At 44.9% G+C, this 16,023-nt stretch overlaps 1 protein-coding gene across 3 annotated transcripts in view, besides 3 other annotated features; it reads left to right on the top strand.

Moving 5' to 3' along the window:
* The window catches only part of COL6A3 (collagen type VI alpha 3 chain), a 90,147-nt gene that overhangs the window by 66,191 nt on the left and 7,933 nt on the right, over positions 1 to 16,023 (top strand). For all 3 annotated transcript variants that reach the window (NM_057166.5, NM_057167.4, NM_004369.4), the window contains 12 exons: positions 105 to 167; positions 1,409 to 1,471; positions 2,761 to 2,793; positions 2,880 to 2,916; positions 3,022 to 3,033; positions 3,131 to 3,624; positions 5,813 to 5,909; positions 6,824 to 7,522; positions 8,857 to 8,959; positions 11,442 to 11,839; positions 13,085 to 13,348; positions 14,426 to 14,524. In NM_057166.5, the coding sequence (NP_476507.3) occupies positions 105 to 167; positions 1,409 to 1,471; positions 2,761 to 2,793; positions 2,880 to 2,916; positions 3,022 to 3,033; positions 3,131 to 3,624; positions 5,813 to 5,909; positions 6,824 to 7,522; positions 8,857 to 8,959; positions 11,442 to 11,839; positions 13,085 to 13,348; positions 14,426 to 14,524 (2,362 nt within the window). The remainder of the gene's footprint in view (positions 1 to 104; positions 168 to 1,408; positions 1,472 to 2,760; positions 2,794 to 2,879; positions 2,917 to 3,021; positions 3,034 to 3,130; positions 3,625 to 5,812; positions 5,910 to 6,823; positions 7,523 to 8,856; positions 8,960 to 11,441; positions 11,840 to 13,084; positions 13,349 to 14,425; positions 14,525 to 16,023) is intronic.
* Positions 11,190 to 11,690: an enhancer, noted in NCBI's record as "H3K4me1 hESC enhancer chr2:238244927-238245427 (GRCh37/hg19 assembly coordinates)". NCBI's record gives its function as "activates a minimal SCP1, AML or CMV promoter by ChIP-STARR-seq in naive H9 embryonic stem cells {active_cell/tissue: H9 hESC(naive)}" and the evidence as "EXISTENCE:reporter gene assay evidence [ECO:0000049][PMID:30033119]".
* Positions 11,691 to 12,191: an enhancer, noted in NCBI's record as "H3K4me1 hESC enhancer chr2:238244426-238244926 (GRCh37/hg19 assembly coordinates)". NCBI's record gives its function as "activates a minimal SCP1, AML or CMV promoter by ChIP-STARR-seq in naive H9 embryonic stem cells {active_cell/tissue: H9 hESC(naive)}" and the evidence as "EXISTENCE:reporter gene assay evidence [ECO:0000049][PMID:30033119]".
* Positions 13,701 to 14,202: an enhancer, noted in NCBI's record as "H3K4me1 hESC enhancer chr2:238242415-238242916 (GRCh37/hg19 assembly coordinates)". NCBI's record gives its function as "activates a minimal SCP1, AML or CMV promoter by ChIP-STARR-seq in naive H9 embryonic stem cells {active_cell/tissue: H9 hESC(naive)}" and the evidence as "EXISTENCE:reporter gene assay evidence [ECO:0000049][PMID:30033119]".

Genomic DNA, 16,023 nt, shown 5'->3' with positions numbered 1-16,023 from the left:
GGAAAAGTGTGACCCACACGTCTCCTGGATGTCTTACCCCACGGACCCTCAGTGAGATCTTCTGTTCCAAAGCTTACTGTGCCACTTCTCGGCTTTCTTCCCAGGGTAACCCAGGTGAACCTGGGCTAAATGGAACAACAGGACCCAAAGGCATCAGAGGCCGAAGGGTAAGTTTGCGTGGGCCTTGGCTGCAGGTGAGGAATGAGAACGTATGTCTCAATGTGATTAACTGCTGAGGCTTTGACAATTATCCTTCACTTGCACCCTGGCCAGGGATAGCACAGGGTGGAAGGAAGGGAATCCTGAGCCCCAGACCAATGTCCTCAGGGTGCCACCATGGCTGTGGTCCATGGCTCTCCTCCTGTAGGTGTATTCCTCTTCCTCCAACTCACCTCCAGGGTCGCCAGCCCAGCTCACTCCAGGCACAGCACCCACCTGCAGTCTCGAATCTCATTATGGGTGACTGGGAAGTCTGTGCAGTCACTTTGGGCCATGCCCACCCAGACGGCCAGGCAATGGGAGTGAATGAGGCATGGCAACTGCTTCTGAAGCCTCTAGGCTTGCAAGCGAGCCAGGCCAAGGCCATGGGCTCCTCAGACTACTGGTGCTGAGATTCCTCTTCCTTAAGCTACTTTTAGCCCTGATAGCTCTTTTCTTTTTATTCTTTGTGTGTGTGTGTGTGTGACAAGGTCTCACTCTGTTGCCAAGGTCTCAGTCTGTCATCTGGGCGGAGTGCAGTGGTGCCATCTTGGCTCACTGCAACCTCCATCTCCTGGGATCAAGCGATCCTCCCACCTCAGCCTCCCAAAGTGCTGGGATTACATGCATGAGACACCACACCTGGCCAGATTATTCTTCAATGGATGTTTACTCACCCTCTTAAAATGGCAGAGTCTTCAATTAGCAAATTGTGGCCTAGATCTGTGTAAAGGTTGCTAACAGTTATTTTCAGCCTGAAATGTAGTTTAAAAAGAAACATAATTATCTTATTAATTTGATCAGTGAAGACAGTCAAACTAGATCATTTAATATCCCAAAGAGCTTTAAAACATTGGATGATTATCTACACTGAACGCATTAGCTAATTCACTGTCTGTTACCTATTCTCCTGGGAGTCCTTAGTAATCATATTAGTGGTTCTTGGGAAAGCACCTGTCTTACCTTAGCCTGGCAGAGAACACAATATACAACACCTCTATAGTTGGTGGGGGACTCCCATTGGCTTTGTTGAGGTTGCTTGTCCCTAAACTTGAATTTAAGAGACATTTTAGCTCCCTTAAAGTGAGAGATTTTTCGTGGTGATGGAGTCCCTTGGGTTAGATCACTTTTACCGTACCTTCCAACTATAGGAGCCTTAAATTCTCCACTTTCTGACACAGTTGAACAATGTTTGTTCTGCTCCCTCTAGGGAAATTCGGGACCTCCAGGGATAGTTGGACAGAAGGGAGACCCTGGCTACCCAGGACCAGCTGTAAGTATTTATCCAGTTCTGACCCGGCCACCTGGGGCTGGGTGCTTTACACGTGGTCCCTGAAAACTTCCCACCATCTGCTTTGCTCACAAGAAAATGTGCTCTCTTTGTATTTGCTTGGTTGTCAAACCGCCTCTCTGACATCATGATGCAGCAAAGAGATTTTGAATTTTAGAGTAACAAGAAACTTTAAAAAAATAGGTTTCATGGGATATCCTGTCATCTAGGGAGTATTGTAATTTGCCTTTATAGTTTCCTGGCATAGGTGCATTTGAGGTTTGTGTAGAGGAGAAACCAAAGAGGGGAAATCTAAATACCTTTTGCTTGCATCTTGTAGAAGCAGTGTAATTATGCCAGGCCTTGGTTTGACAATGCTTCCTGTGGTCTATGAAATCCCCAAGGGAGCTCCTGATTTGTGGTTAAATCCCACTAGTCATGCTGCCACCAGGAGCCAGGAGGGCATCCTCCCACAGCCCTTCCAAACCTCTTTATTGCTAATACCTTTGTTTTCTTATTTGAATTTCTCCATATATTGTCCCTCAATATTGAAATTGGTGAGTTTCAAAAAATAATGGAAAAGATAATTCAGGAGTTGGAAAATCATTCCTAGAAGGAAAGGTTCAGGGCTTAGTTTGGTTGAATTAGGGAAAAGAAAGCTGGTCAGGTGGGTCTGATTGCTGTCTTTAAGTAGGTGAAGTGTTGGGGGGAGCACATTAAGCCAGTTCCTGCAGAAGACCAAGCAGGCAGAAATAGCCTCCTGGAAAGACAACTAATGGCCCATGAGATGCCTGCTGGGCTGTCAGGGTGGTGAGGTTTAGGCATGGGACACTGAGGGAAGCCACGAGTCAGTCCCTAGAGCTCCTCGGGGTGGAATTCAGCTGGGATGCTTTAGACACGGAGGGAGCCAGGGCAGCTCAATGATCTCTCACTGCCCCTTCGGCAGGGGACAGCGTATCAAGCGTGTGAAAGGGAGCTCTTTTCTCAAGAGAAGCAGAATCTAGACCCAGGTTCACTCGTGGGCTTTACATGGATTGGTGGTGAGCTTCCTGGTTTCAGAACATGAGACTATTTCAAAGGCCAAATGACCTCCCAGGGAAACACATTTGCTCCAGAATCTTCTCTTTTTTGCTTTGCAAGGGATAAGATCAGGTTTAGAGGGAGAGGCTGTAAACAATCAAGGTTATCCAGGGGCCCCTTTGTCTTGCTCTGTGTATTTCTGGGGGCCAAAGCCTGTTTATTCGAATTCCCCATCTGCTGTGCCTCTCACCTTTCGTTCCTTGGTTTTACAGGGTCCCAAGGGCAACAGGGGCGACTCCATCGATGTAAGTTGCATGTGTCCAGAATGACTCATTAACCTCATGAGCCTTTGATTTGCTCTCTTTACATATTCTTTTATTTTCTTTTAAAGCAATGTGCCCTCATCCAAAGCATCAAAGATAAATGCCGTAAGTACATGATTTTCTGTTGTCTCACAATGCATATTTTTACATTCGAAATTCTCACATGGTAGAGTAGTCTCTCACCCTTTCTTCTCTTTGCTTCTTTTCTAGCTTGCTGTTACGGTAAGTTGATTTTGGTGACTTTCTCCTAAGGAAAGGAAGCCTCCCTTTTGTAGTAAGTACAGTTTGTCTTTAACCCTCCACCCTCTACTTTCCACAGGGCCCCTGGAGTGCCCCGTCTTCCCAACAGAACTAGCCTTTGCTTTAGACACCTCTGAGGGAGTCAACCAAGACACTTTCGGCCGGATGCGAGATGTGGTCTTGAGTATTGTGAATGACCTGACCATTGCTGAGAGCAACTGCCCACGGGGGGCCCGGGTGGCTGTGGTCACCTACAACAACGAGGTGACCACGGAGATCCGGTTTGCTGACTCCAAGAGGAAGTCGGTCCTCCTGGACAAGATTAAGAACCTTCAGGTGGCTCTGACATCCAAACAGCAGAGTCTGGAGACTGCCATGTCGTTTGTGGCCAGGAACACATTTAAGCGTGTGAGGAACGGATTCCTAATGAGGAAAGTGGCTGTTTTCTTCAGCAACACACCCACAAGAGCATCCCCACAGCTCAGAGAGGCTGTGCTCAAGCTCTCAGATGCGGGGATCACCCCCTTGTTCCTTACAAGGCAGGAAGACCGGCAGCTCATCAACGCTTTGCAGGTCTGTGCTCTGTGCGTGCTGTTGGCATCTCCCTTTCTTCTGGGGCTCTGAGAAGGTTCTCAGACACGTCCATGCTCCTTTGTGGCTTCATGTCCCATAGCTCCTAAAACGTCCCCAATGAGGCCATCTGCCTGAGAACTTCTCTTGTGAGGTCTCCAGGACAACCTCGTGGCTCCAGCACTACAGGGACGCCTACATGCTTGTAGCACTGCCCCCAGGTCCCTCCTCACATGTTGACAGCTCTTGCCGGTTAGTGATGCTAGTGTTGGTGACACTCTCTATCTACTAACAAGGTGGTGTGACTTGTTTGCTTTATTCATGAGGACCTGGACGTTTGCATCCTTCCTGTCTCCTCCCAAGATGGCCCCCTGTGCACACTCTGAGCTGTGTCTTACTGTGTACTGGGCATTTGCTTCCCATAACTGGCTGGTGAGGTTTGTATCATCAGTCTCACCTCATGGATAGGAAGATCCTGCTGTTAGTGAGGTGCTCGTGAGAGGCTAGGACCCTAGTCCATTAGACTCTGAAACCCATGTGCTGATGATACCCATTCCAGTCTCCACTCTGTCCCAATCGGCCCTGAAGGTGAATATCCAGGGTGGCCCTGGAGGCCTGTAGTCTCTCAGTGAGGTCCCCAAAACTATGCCGACTCAGCACCCCCAATCTACACCACACCACTGTGCAAAGCTTTCTTCAGTGAGGCCCCAAGGGTCAGCCCACGGAGAGGCCAAGTGTCGCTTGTAATTCTATTAAATAACTGGTTTAATTGTGTGTTTTTTTTTTTTTTTTTTTTTTTTTTTTTTTTTTTTTTTTTTTTTTTTTTTTTTTTTTTTTTGAGACAGAGTCTTGCTCTGTCACCCAGGCTGGAGTGCAATGGCGTGATCTCGGCTCACTGCAACCTCCACCTTCCAGTTTTAAGTGATTCTCCTGCTTCAGCCTCCTGAGTAGCTGGGATTACAGGCACTCGCCACCATGCCTGGCTAATTTTTGTATTTTTCTTTCTTTTTTTTTTTTTTAGTAGAGACGGGGGTTTCACCATATTGGTCAGACTGGTCTCGAACTCCTGACCACGTGATCTGCCTGCCTCGGCCTCCCAAAGTGCTGGGGTTACAGGCGTAAGCCACCGCACCCAGACAACTAGTTTAATTCTTACATCAATTAATATTTATTCAGTGCAGTTCTGGCGATACTGTTCAAGACAGATGGGTGATGGGTAGGAAGGAGTCCACCCGGGAGTCAGGAGGCCTTGGCCTGGTTCCACACTCCCCCCACCCATTTAAAGTAATGTGCACGCCACTTAGCGTCCCTGCGTCTCAGATTTTTCACCTGTAAATTGAGACTGGGGCAGGATGATTGCTAATGTCTTTCCTTCCACATTGGATATTCTATGCTTTTACCACAGCCTGTGTCGGCGAAAGACATTGGGTCATCACTGCCATTCCTCAGGGCTTGTTCTGCCGAACACAGGATGATTTGTGCATAGAGCGCTGGGCTTGGGAATTCAGTGTTGAAGTTGGGCTACCGGCCATGTGCTCTTGATGGGGGGATTCATTCACATAAGTCTGTCCTTGTGTGGGCTGAGGGACCCAGAACCACGTGAGTTTCTTAGCATGGTTTCAACGAGATCAAAAAATTGTTCATTCATTAATTATTTGCTCATTCATTCATTCAAACTAGCTATTTGTTAAATGAATAATTACTAATCGTGTGCCAGGTACGGCGATAGACAGGACTCTTTGCACCCACTGGGAGTGATTTTGTTACTTGCTTTAACCACACCTGAGAGGGTGGGGAAGGGATGGAGCTCCCATATTGTTGCTAAAAATAACGATAAGATTAAGTTCCTACTATTTGCCAGAGGATACACCAGTTACTAACATTTATTATCTAATTTAACCCTCCAAATGACACCATTAGGAAGGTATTACCCCCCATTTTACAGCTGAAAAAAACTGAAACCCATTTGAACGGGATATGAACTCCAGCTCACCCTAGTAGAATAAAACCTATGTCTTTCTATTATACTCAGAGCCTAACCCCACCCCCAAATGAGAAGATATTCCCAATACTGCCCTATTGGGAAGTTAATCTATTTTATTGATGTAGCTTTGATTTACTCCTCTGCCATATTTTCAGATATTACTGATCATGTACGCCCCTACCAAAATTGTTCTTTTGTTTAAACCAGATCAATAACACAGCAGTGGGGCATGCGCTTGTCCTGCCTGCAGGGAGAGACCTCACAGACTTCCTGGAGAATGTCCTCACGTGTCATGTTTGCTTGGGTAAGCTGTTTCTCTAACAGGAAGATCTGCTCAGCTGCAATTGCAAAACATAATATCCATGGGAGAGTGAGAGAATAATGATGATCTGTAAAAAGAGCTTGAGTTCAATTGATTCACAAAGCCTCGTATTTACCAGAGTAAATACTACTGCAGCAGTTTCTATATTAAAAATGGACCTCCCAAAACAGAGCTTCTCTTTGATGGCGGATAATTCATTTTATAGGTAACAAAGGAGGAGGCAGTTTCTGCTTAAGTTTTGACATTAGAATCTAGAATGAAAACATTGGCACTAGTGACTTTCTAGAACATATTTCTTCAAAGAGTGGCAGAGAAGTAATATAATTTTTCATTTCTTTTAAAAATGCCAGCACATGGTATGCTACAAAGATTTTAGGTTAGTGATTTGTTTCATCTACTAAGTATTAGGTGATAGAAACTGAAATCTGGCCATAATCAAATCAAGGCAAGATATAAATTGGTTTTGGTTGTGATGTTTTTTTTTTTTTTTTTTTTTTTTTTTTAGACAGAGTCTTGCTCTTGTTGCCCAGGCTGGAGTGCAGTGGCACAATCTTGGCTCACTGCAACCTCTGCTTCCTGGGTTCAAGCGATTCTCCTGCCTCAGCCTCCAGAGTAGCCTAGATTACAGGCATGCGCCATCAGGCCCAGCTAATTTTTGTATTTTTAGTAGAGACAGGGTTTCACCATGTTGGCCAGGATGATCTCGATCTCTTGACCTCGTGATCCACCTGCCTCGGCCTCCCAAAGTGCTGGGATTACAGGCGTGAGCCACCGCTTCCGGCCCGCTTTTGATCTTATGTGATCATTTTAATCGCCCAAGTCTCCCAGCAGATTGATGAGCTGTGTATCCTGCTGTGGGTGTCACAGAACAAATAGGCTGCCATGCTTCTTTCTAGACATCTGCAACATCGACCCATCCTGTGGATTTGGCAGTTGGAGGCCTTCCTTCAGGGACAGGAGAGCGGCAGGGAGCGATGTGGACATCGACATGGCTTTCATCTTAGACAGCGCTGAGACCACCACCCTGTTCCAGTTCAATGAGATGAAGAAGTACATAGCGTACCTGGTCAGACAACTGGACATGAGCCCAGATCCCAAGGCCTCCCAGCACTTCGCCAGAGTGGCAGTTGTGCAGCACGCGCCCTCTGAGTCCGTGGACAATGCCAGCATGCCACCTGTGAAGGTGGAATTCTCCCTGACTGACTATGGCTCCAAGGAGAAGCTGGTGGACTTCCTCAGCAGGGGAATGACACAGTTGCAGGGAACCAGGGCCTTAGGCAGTGCCATTGAATACACCATAGAGAATGTCTTTGAAAGTGCCCCAAACCCACGGGACCTGAAAATTGTGGTCCTGATGCTGACGGGCGAGGTGCCGGAGCAGCAGCTGGAGGAGGCCCAGAGAGTCATCCTGCAGGCCAAATGCAAGGGCTACTTCTTCGTGGTCCTGGGCATTGGCAGGAAGGTGAACATCAAGGAGGTATACACCTTCGCCAGTGAGCCAAACGACGTCTTCTTCAAATTAGTGGACAAGTCCACCGAGCTCAACGAGGAGCCTTTGATGCGCTTCGGGAGGCTGTTGCCATCCTTCGTCAGCAGTAAGTCCTGCGTGGCACAGCATGTGCCCTGGCCTGGCTTTATGCTCGGGCCAGGAGAAGTGTAGGAACAGTCATGGAAAAGACAACCGATGTGTTGACAGGAACTGTTTCATTCATTGAACAGACATATATTGACACCTGCCATATGCCACAAATGCTTTTAGGAGCCAGAGTAAGCAGGGAACATGCAGACAGTATCCTTGTTCTCATTGATTCCTTTATTCCACCACATTTGACCAAGCGCCACCTAGTCATAAGGCACTCTTGGTGTCCTTAACAGTTTACAAATGGGTGGGCAAATGGATCAAATGCACATTTATTACGCATGACATAATAGGCTGGCATGTCGCGAGAGAAGTGATTTCTGTTAGGGGCACCGGGGAAAGCTTCTAGAAAGAGTTGCTTTGATCGGGGCTTAGCCACCAGCCCCGTGCTTGGATACCACTGGGTCTTTGCTCATGGGGCTCCCCCTCCCTGGAATGCTCTCCACCGCACTTCAGCAGCAAACCCATATTCATCTTCAAAGTTCAATTCCAATGGCTTCTGCTCGCCGTGGAAGCTGCTGCTCCCAAGGCCTGCTCATGGTTAATCCGGACACCCTATTTAGGGCATCTATTACCTGGCCTGTTGATCATTTATTTGTGGGTCTGTGGTCCCCTAGACTGCTCTTTGAGGAGGTGCAGCCTATTATAGTTTCCAGAGCCTGTGTACAGTGTGCAGCCCAGGGTCAGTACAGGCAAGGCTTGGAACAGATGAGGGGGATTTATAAAGTATAAATAAACATGTATATGCTAAATGTTTATTATTTAAGGCAATGTTGAGGTCTATGAAAACAGTATTCACATTTGTGAAGGTCTGGCCCCCAAAAGATTCAAAGAAAAATGTGAAGCAAAGGTAATCCCCCAGGTTCACCCACAGGTCACTGTTCCTGTCTTCCAAAGATTAAAAACAAAAGCTTTGTTCAACAAAGCATTGAGAAAATCTGAAAAGCAGTTGCATTATAATCTGATGTCCAAGAGTCTAGAACTTGTTGAACTCTCCACTTGATTTTTCTTCTATCCCTGTCTTCTCTCTCATGTTGGATAAATATATCTTTAACTTAATCACCCAAATATTGCCAAATAGAACATATTGGCTTACCATGTTTTATGGATCCAATGCCATCATACTTTATGTTTAAAATCACTGGACATAGTTTGTCTGATATAGTTAATTCAACAATAATTATGGGCTAAATAAATGTTATGTGATTCATTTAACTTGTTGACAGATTAATTTTAATTTTCATGTTATTAGCATGCGGTTCAATTGTTTTCTTTGTTTTTTTTCTTTAGGTGAAAATGCTTTTTACTTGTCCCCAGATATCAGGAAACAGTGTGATTGGTTCCAAGGGGACCAACCCACAAAGAACCTTGTGAAGTTTGGTCACAAACAAGTGTAAGTGATTATAATTATTGTCTTAAAAATTGTAGCGCTGCAGGGAATGCACAGGTCCTCCAACCACCTCCTGACTTTATGGGATGAGGACCTTGAAATCCAGAAAATGTGACTTCCCAAAGGTAATGTGGGTCATGCTTCTCAAATAATCTGTTTTATCAGTTAGCTTTTGCCATGTAACAAGCTACCCAAAACTTAGTGGCTTAAAACAACAACCACCTATTTATTTTCTTACTTAATTTATTTAGAGACAGAGTCTTGCTGTGTTGCCCAGGCTGGACTGCAGTTGTGCAATCTTGGCTCACTGTAACCTCTGCCTCCTGGATTCAAGCAATTCTCATGCTTCAGCCTCCCGAGTAGCTGGGACTACAGGTGCATGCAGCCATGCCTGGCTAATTTTTGTATTTTTTTTTCAGTAGAGATGGGGTTTCGCCATGTTGTCCAGCCTTGTCTAGAACTCCTGAACTCAAATGATCTGCCTGCCTCAGCCTCCCAAAGTGCTGGGATTATAAGCATGAGCCACTGGGCCTGGCCAACAACCACTTATTTAATTTGCAATTCTGTGGGTTAGCAATTTTTGTTTGGGCTCAACTGGGTGGTTCTTCTGTTTTCTCCTTGGATCCCTTATGTTTGTGGTCAGCTGCTTGTCAGCTATAGAGCTGCTGGTCTAGAGTGGTCTCAGATGGGCTGGCTCATCTCTGCTCCATGTGGTCTCTCATTCTCAGCAGGCTAGCTTGGGTTTGTTCACCAGGTGACCTGGCAGGGTTCCCTGAGAGAAGACAAGTGTGCAAGGCCTCTTGTGACCTAGGTTAGAACTGGCACACTGTTACTTCTGCCACGTTCTATTGACCAAAGCATGTCCAAAGGCTAACCTAGATTTAAGAATGGAAAACTAGGCTTGATGGAAGGACTTGCCACATTACATTGAAAGGGCATGGGCAGAGAGAAGGTAGATAATTGAGACCATAGTTCCAAACAATTTACCGTATCTGGTGTGAAATGATTACGTAAAAGAAGGATTGGATACATCAAAAAATAGACTCCATGTCTTCTTAAAATTATTAATGCTGTGATAACATGTAATGATGGTAATAATAGGAAGTCATGTGCATGTTCTATGAAGACTGACGGGAGGGGTGGGAGTGGGCAGGACTGTGGCACCCATGCCGATGCTGCTGCCTGGCCCATGTGCCGTGTTTCATGCCCTGCTCCATCTCGGGTGCCAACCCTAGGAGCAAAGAGGGCAGTGGGGGCATGTAACAGAGGGCTAGCTGGGGTGATGTGGCTGCAAGAACTGAGCCCCTGCAGCGTGTCAGCAATGTGTGCTCCTTAAGAGAATGTCACAGTGTGTCATGCTTTGGAGGGAAGTGCAGATTCTGCAGATTCTGAACTTCGTACACAGATGAGATGTGAACGCAAATGATCCTTGAAAAATGACTATCTGGCTTACGACTAGCTGACTCTCAAGATGGGGAAAGAGAGCCCATCTCTTCCTACTGCAGACCCTTCTGTCTATCACCACTTAAGTCCTTCAGCTCTTTCTTTTGACCTCAGAAGGAGTGGCTTTAAATCTCAGCATAGCAAGAATGAATATCATTGCTAAGGCCACTAGGACCCTTATCGTGGCACTGGATGCTTCATTTAGCTTTGTAGCCTCCATTTTTCTAGGCTCTAATGATTCGTATTTTTTCTCTGAAACCTTCCCTGAAATTGGCTCAACCTTTTTATCTTTAGGAAAACAGAATGAATGAAGTAACCTAGTATTTGAAGTCTTATGATATTAACTTGAAAATATATTAATACTTCCTAGGACAAGTAGCAAGATATGACTATAAAATAATATATTTTCTTCTAAGATCAAGAAAGCTATGAAGTGTGGGTCCTTGTTGTTATGTCTGTTTGATTAGGCTGCTATTCTCTCTAGATATTGGTAATAGATCAAGAAATTGTAAAAAAAAATACACATACACAAAAATTAAGAGAAATAAAAAATATATATACTCCCAGTAATAAGCCCTGGGAGCAAAATAGTACATGCTAACTTTATAATTTTCCAGCTCAACATAGCATTTGATTGAGTGGATATTTTCTTATAATGTAAGTAGCTAACTACTGATTTCATTTAATTTTTGGTGTATGTTTTGGTTGGTTAATTGCTATAATGAGAACATTGTTGGATATTATTCATTATTGTCTCTTATTTTCTCTCTGCCTTTATTTTAGAAATTGAAAGATGTTTTTGTAGAACAATATAAGCTTCATTTTTAATGGTTCTATTTTTCAATATGCTGTTCCATATCTTTTTTTAGGGAGGCACAGATCCTTAAAAGAAGGAATTTAATATATGCACTGCTATACATAATCTATAAAAACTATTGCATGCATTTTGCTAAAACAAATTTAATGTAGCTCATGGGGTTATGTCTTTATTTATTTTAGATAGCAGGTAAAAGTAGAGGTAATATTTAATTTGTCTTAACAGAAATGTTCCGAATAACGTTACTTCAAGTCCTACATCCAACCCAGTGACGACAACGAAGCCGGTGACTACGACGAAGCCGGTGACCACCACAACAAAGCCTGTAACCACCACAACAAAGCCTGTGACTATTATAAATCAGCCATCTGTGAAGCCAGCCGCTGCAAAGCCGGCCCCTGCGAAACCTGTGGCTGCCAAGCCTGTGGCCACAAAGATGGCCACTGTTAGACCCCCAGTGGCGGTGAAGCCAGCAACGGCAGCGAAGCCTGTAGCAGCAAAGCCAGCAGCTGTAAGACCCCCCGCTGCTGCTGCTGCAAAACCAGTGGCGACCAAGCCTGAGGTCCCTAGGCCACAGGCAGCCAAACCAGCTGCCACCAAGCCAGCCACCACTAAGCCCATGGGTAAGAAAGCCCTTGCTAGGGCTGCCATCTTGTGACATCCTCATTTCCTGCTCCAGGGTGTGTTCCTCAAAGCCTGCATGTAACACACTCAGAATACAGTCCTTGATCTGGGCTTGTACACCTGGATGATGTATTTTAAGAGGTGTTGGTTAGGGATTCCAGCCTCCCACTCCCCATCCTGTGCCCTCAATCCTGTCTTGCGATAGGGATGGGAAGCTCTCATTCTCTCTGGAATGTCAGTGGGGGCACAGTTCACCTCACCTGAAAATTGAGTTGTCTTAAACTAAAGGGAAAAGTTTCCGTGTTGAAATAAGGTTTTAGCTCCTATTTAGGGAGTGAGAGAGACAGAAAGAAAAACGCTGCAGTTGGTTCTTAGGCAGCAAGGCAGATGTTTCTGGGCTGGTGTATGGAGCCGGACTCGCCTACCTTAGAACATGCCTTGAAAAGGTCTGGGGGAGCCCTTTGCAACTGCAAACTTTGTCTCTGCCTCATACCCACAGAAAAGGGGCCCTAAGCTGTGTGCTGTGGCAATACTGGGTGTTCAGTCCAGCAGCTTGAAAAGTCAGAGCCTGGACCATCAGTCATTCCCCAAGGCTCAAATCTATGCTCATGCTGACCATGAGAAAAATATTGAAAGCAATGGCAAAAACCACAATGACTCTGCACCAACTTAATATATTTCAGACTGAATTAGATACAAAAGGTAGATGGCTTTAATGAGACCAAGAGTATGTTATTTTATCATTTTCCTAAAGAAGATACTGGAAGACACTACCGAATGTCACAAGCTGTAAAGGAAGGCTCATGATAAAATGGAAATTATCTTCATTTGATGAACAGTATGAGAGAGAAAGCAGAATTCCTTTAAAAGAATTTCATGTCATACCCTAAAATTTTATGACTTAATATATTTTAAATTATGGGGCTCATTTTGTAGCAAACACAACTTAGGATTAGTATGCTGCATTTCCAAAGTATCTTCTTAACAGGCGAGATTTTTAATAGAAAAAAAAGTTGATGAATAATGAGATTTTTCATTACTGTGAATTTCACATTTCATGTATGCTGATAGATTATAAGAGCAATGTTTTTTAGGGGCTTGAACAAGAAATTAGTTCCCCGCCTCAGCTAAATTTCAAGTCAATTTGTCTGTTAACACATCCCTTTCAGATTTCCTCTCTCGCTCATGCACTACAGTCATGGAGGATTTTATTTTTTATCTTCACGCTCTGATCTATCTTTCAGTTAAGATGTCCCGTGAAGTCCAGGTGTTTGAGATAACAGAGAACAGCGCCAAACTCCACTGGGAGAGGGCTGAGCCCCCCGGTCCTTATTTTTATGACCTCACCGTCACCTCAGCCCATGATCAGTCCCTGGTTCTGAAGCAGAACCTCACGGTCACGGACCGCGTCATTGGAGGCCTGCTCGCTGGGCAGACATACCATGTGGCTGTGGTCTGCTACCTGAGGTCTCAGGTCAGAGCCACCTACCACGGAAGTTTCAGTACAAGTAAGTACATGATCAGTACAAGTCGGTACCTGATTTCTATGTAGAGTATCAAATAGGACACAAAGGAGACACTTACTTATTGAATCTATTCTGAAATAACCACAAATTCAAAAAACAACAACAGCAACAACAACAAAACAACTCAGCCTGGGTGCTTTGGTGGCAGCCTAAGCTTATAAAACACAGAATGGAAATGGGATTCCATGTGGGATGCAGTCCTGCCCTCTGGGTCCTGGGCTACTTTTTGGAGGAAGCCAGATCCACGTCGCCTGAGCACAGCCCTTTCCAACATTGCACCCGGGAAAGATGGCCACGTCTCCCGGTGAGGGCTCCTGGTTGCCCACCACCCCGTCCAGGTTTCCATGTTCAGGAAAACACCAGCCAGTCACTGGCTCCTTAGGGAGTAATGGAGGTGTCCCTGAAGTCTCACCGCCCCGGGGGTGGAGGATGTCGATAGCTGAGTCTCCCTGCCCTGATCTCACCATAGTTGGGCTCTGCCCTTGGCTGGCTGTTGTCCCCAGGGGCCCCCCCATTTCACTGAGGCCTGCACTTGAGTGCTGTCACAGCTTTTCTTAATTATTCATGGTCCCCTCTCTCATCTTTCTAAATTCTTCTGGGTTCCCCCCTCCCATTCTTCTTGACCCCCACTGCTCCAGGAATGTGAAGGGAAGGCTCCTCTTTTCTTCAGGCCAATGCTATTCAGATCAAGGAACCAGCTTGAGGAAAGGGAATTCCCACCAGTGCCATGGATTAGGCCCATAGAGATATGAGTCCAAAGACCCAGTCAACCCTAGGGCTCTATTTTCCTGGACAGCAGCAGAAGAGGCTGTCTGGGAAGTGAGAGGATTTGTTCAGAAGTTCAGGGATCCCCTCCCGTCGCTTATTAGCTCATGGATCCAACTTGTAGCCCACAGCATAAGTCGTGGATGTAGAGGTGTCTTGGATCTGTGTCTTTCAATCACCACTCCCCAACATAAGACATTAATCACAGCAGGCAACCTTATATCAGTCACTAAGGATTCCCAAGCCCTCCTGTTTCTGATTTACCTACGAGTTGCATATATTTTTCTTTTATAGAGAAATCTCAGCCCCCACCTCCACAGCCAGCAAGGTCAGCTTCTAGTTCAACCATCAATCTAATGGTGAGCACAGAACCATTGGCTCTCACTGAAACAGGTGAGTTGTGAAACTATTAGGTCCATTAATGGCACTAAGAAAATACCCATCTTGATTCCAATTTAACTTCCTGGGTTCTAAGTCTTAGCCCAGGCATGACTTCTATGGGGGAAAAGGTCCACGTCAGCTCTGTGCAGCCCAACATCATCTTATTCTGCATAATCCCAGGTGTAAATGGAGTCTTACTTTACCTGTGATCAGACTCAGTGAAAATTTGATGGGAGGTGCTTTTGGGGCTATCACTAGAATTCACGTATCCATTAGACATTTCTCCTGTGCCTCATACTGGGACTCGAGTTGATTTGTGGTCTGTGATGCTGTGAAGATTGGCGTTTCATTTACTCAGTGATTTAATCTAATAAAAAAACTGCTTAGAAGAACACAAGACAAATTTGGCTGGAATCCATGAAATGCATGGGTTTGGATCTGACCCATGGGGTGTTCTGGTCCGGACATCCTAAGCACACACCCCAGCTTAGTGTGTGAGTCTGTGATACTGTCTCTCATGTGCTTGAACCCCAGAGTGTGTGCATAGTCTATGCTAAGTTAGTGACTGGTTAGGTGTAATTCAGGAACTGACAGCTGTTACTTGCTTTTGTTCTTGGGCAGTGAAACTCTGAGAGACCTGGAATCTCTCATTCAGCAGAATGTGGACTTGGCTTGTTCATCGGTGAGAAACTGATTATTAAAATAGTTGATAGGCTTTGCTTAAGAGTGTTCAGCAAAGAATGATGGTACTAACATAAAAAATGGAAATGCCATGGGAATTTAGATATAATACTGTTTTATACACCTGAAGCAAAAGCTTTCTGCTAACTAGGGGACAATTCATTATTTTTTGGTGTATCGTCTACTGTCAGGAGGAGGAAAGCATTTCTCTTCACAATGCTCATTTCTGTAATTGATTTTAAAGGTGTTTGTTGAGTGAGCCTGTTAGGCGACCCCACCATGGTGCTTGAGCTCAAAGAGAAGCCACAAAGAACACAGTAGATTTTCCCCAAAGGTGTGGGTCAGGACAGATTCAACTCTAACTTCAAAGTTGCTGAAATCTGTGTATGTCATTTCTCACTCATTGGTTAACTTCTCCCTGAATACAGTGTGGGAAATAGAAAAATTTTAGCCAATTTAGTGCTTCATTGAGAGAAAAAGACTTGGAGTAAACTAGAGATCAGAGATCAATAATGAGTAAACTAGACAGCAAGATTTGGGGATGTTTTTGATTCTCTTATGTGTGGTCCAAAAGGGACAAGATTGTATAAACAGTGCCTAATTCATATAAACAACAATGTCTTTCAGCAAGGGTCTGGCTGGGCTGTTTTGTTTTTCTTTTCATATATATATATATATATATATATATATATATATATATATATATATATGTAGAGAGAGAGAGAGAGATGGGGGGAGAGAGTTGTGAGGTTCAGAATTAAGAAGGTGCTTTTGATCCAGACCTTTAACACTGAGATCGCCTGTCTACCTGTGATAAAGAGAAAAGAGCT

This window comes from Homo sapiens, chromosome 2 (assembly GCF_000001405.40).
Source record: "Homo sapiens chromosome 2, GRCh38.p14 Primary Assembly".
Taxonomy (NCBI): Eukaryota; Metazoa; Chordata; class Mammalia; order Primates; family Hominidae; genus Homo; species Homo sapiens.
Note: the sequence above shows the minus strand (reverse complement) of the source record. Positions and strands in the feature narration are given on the sequence as shown.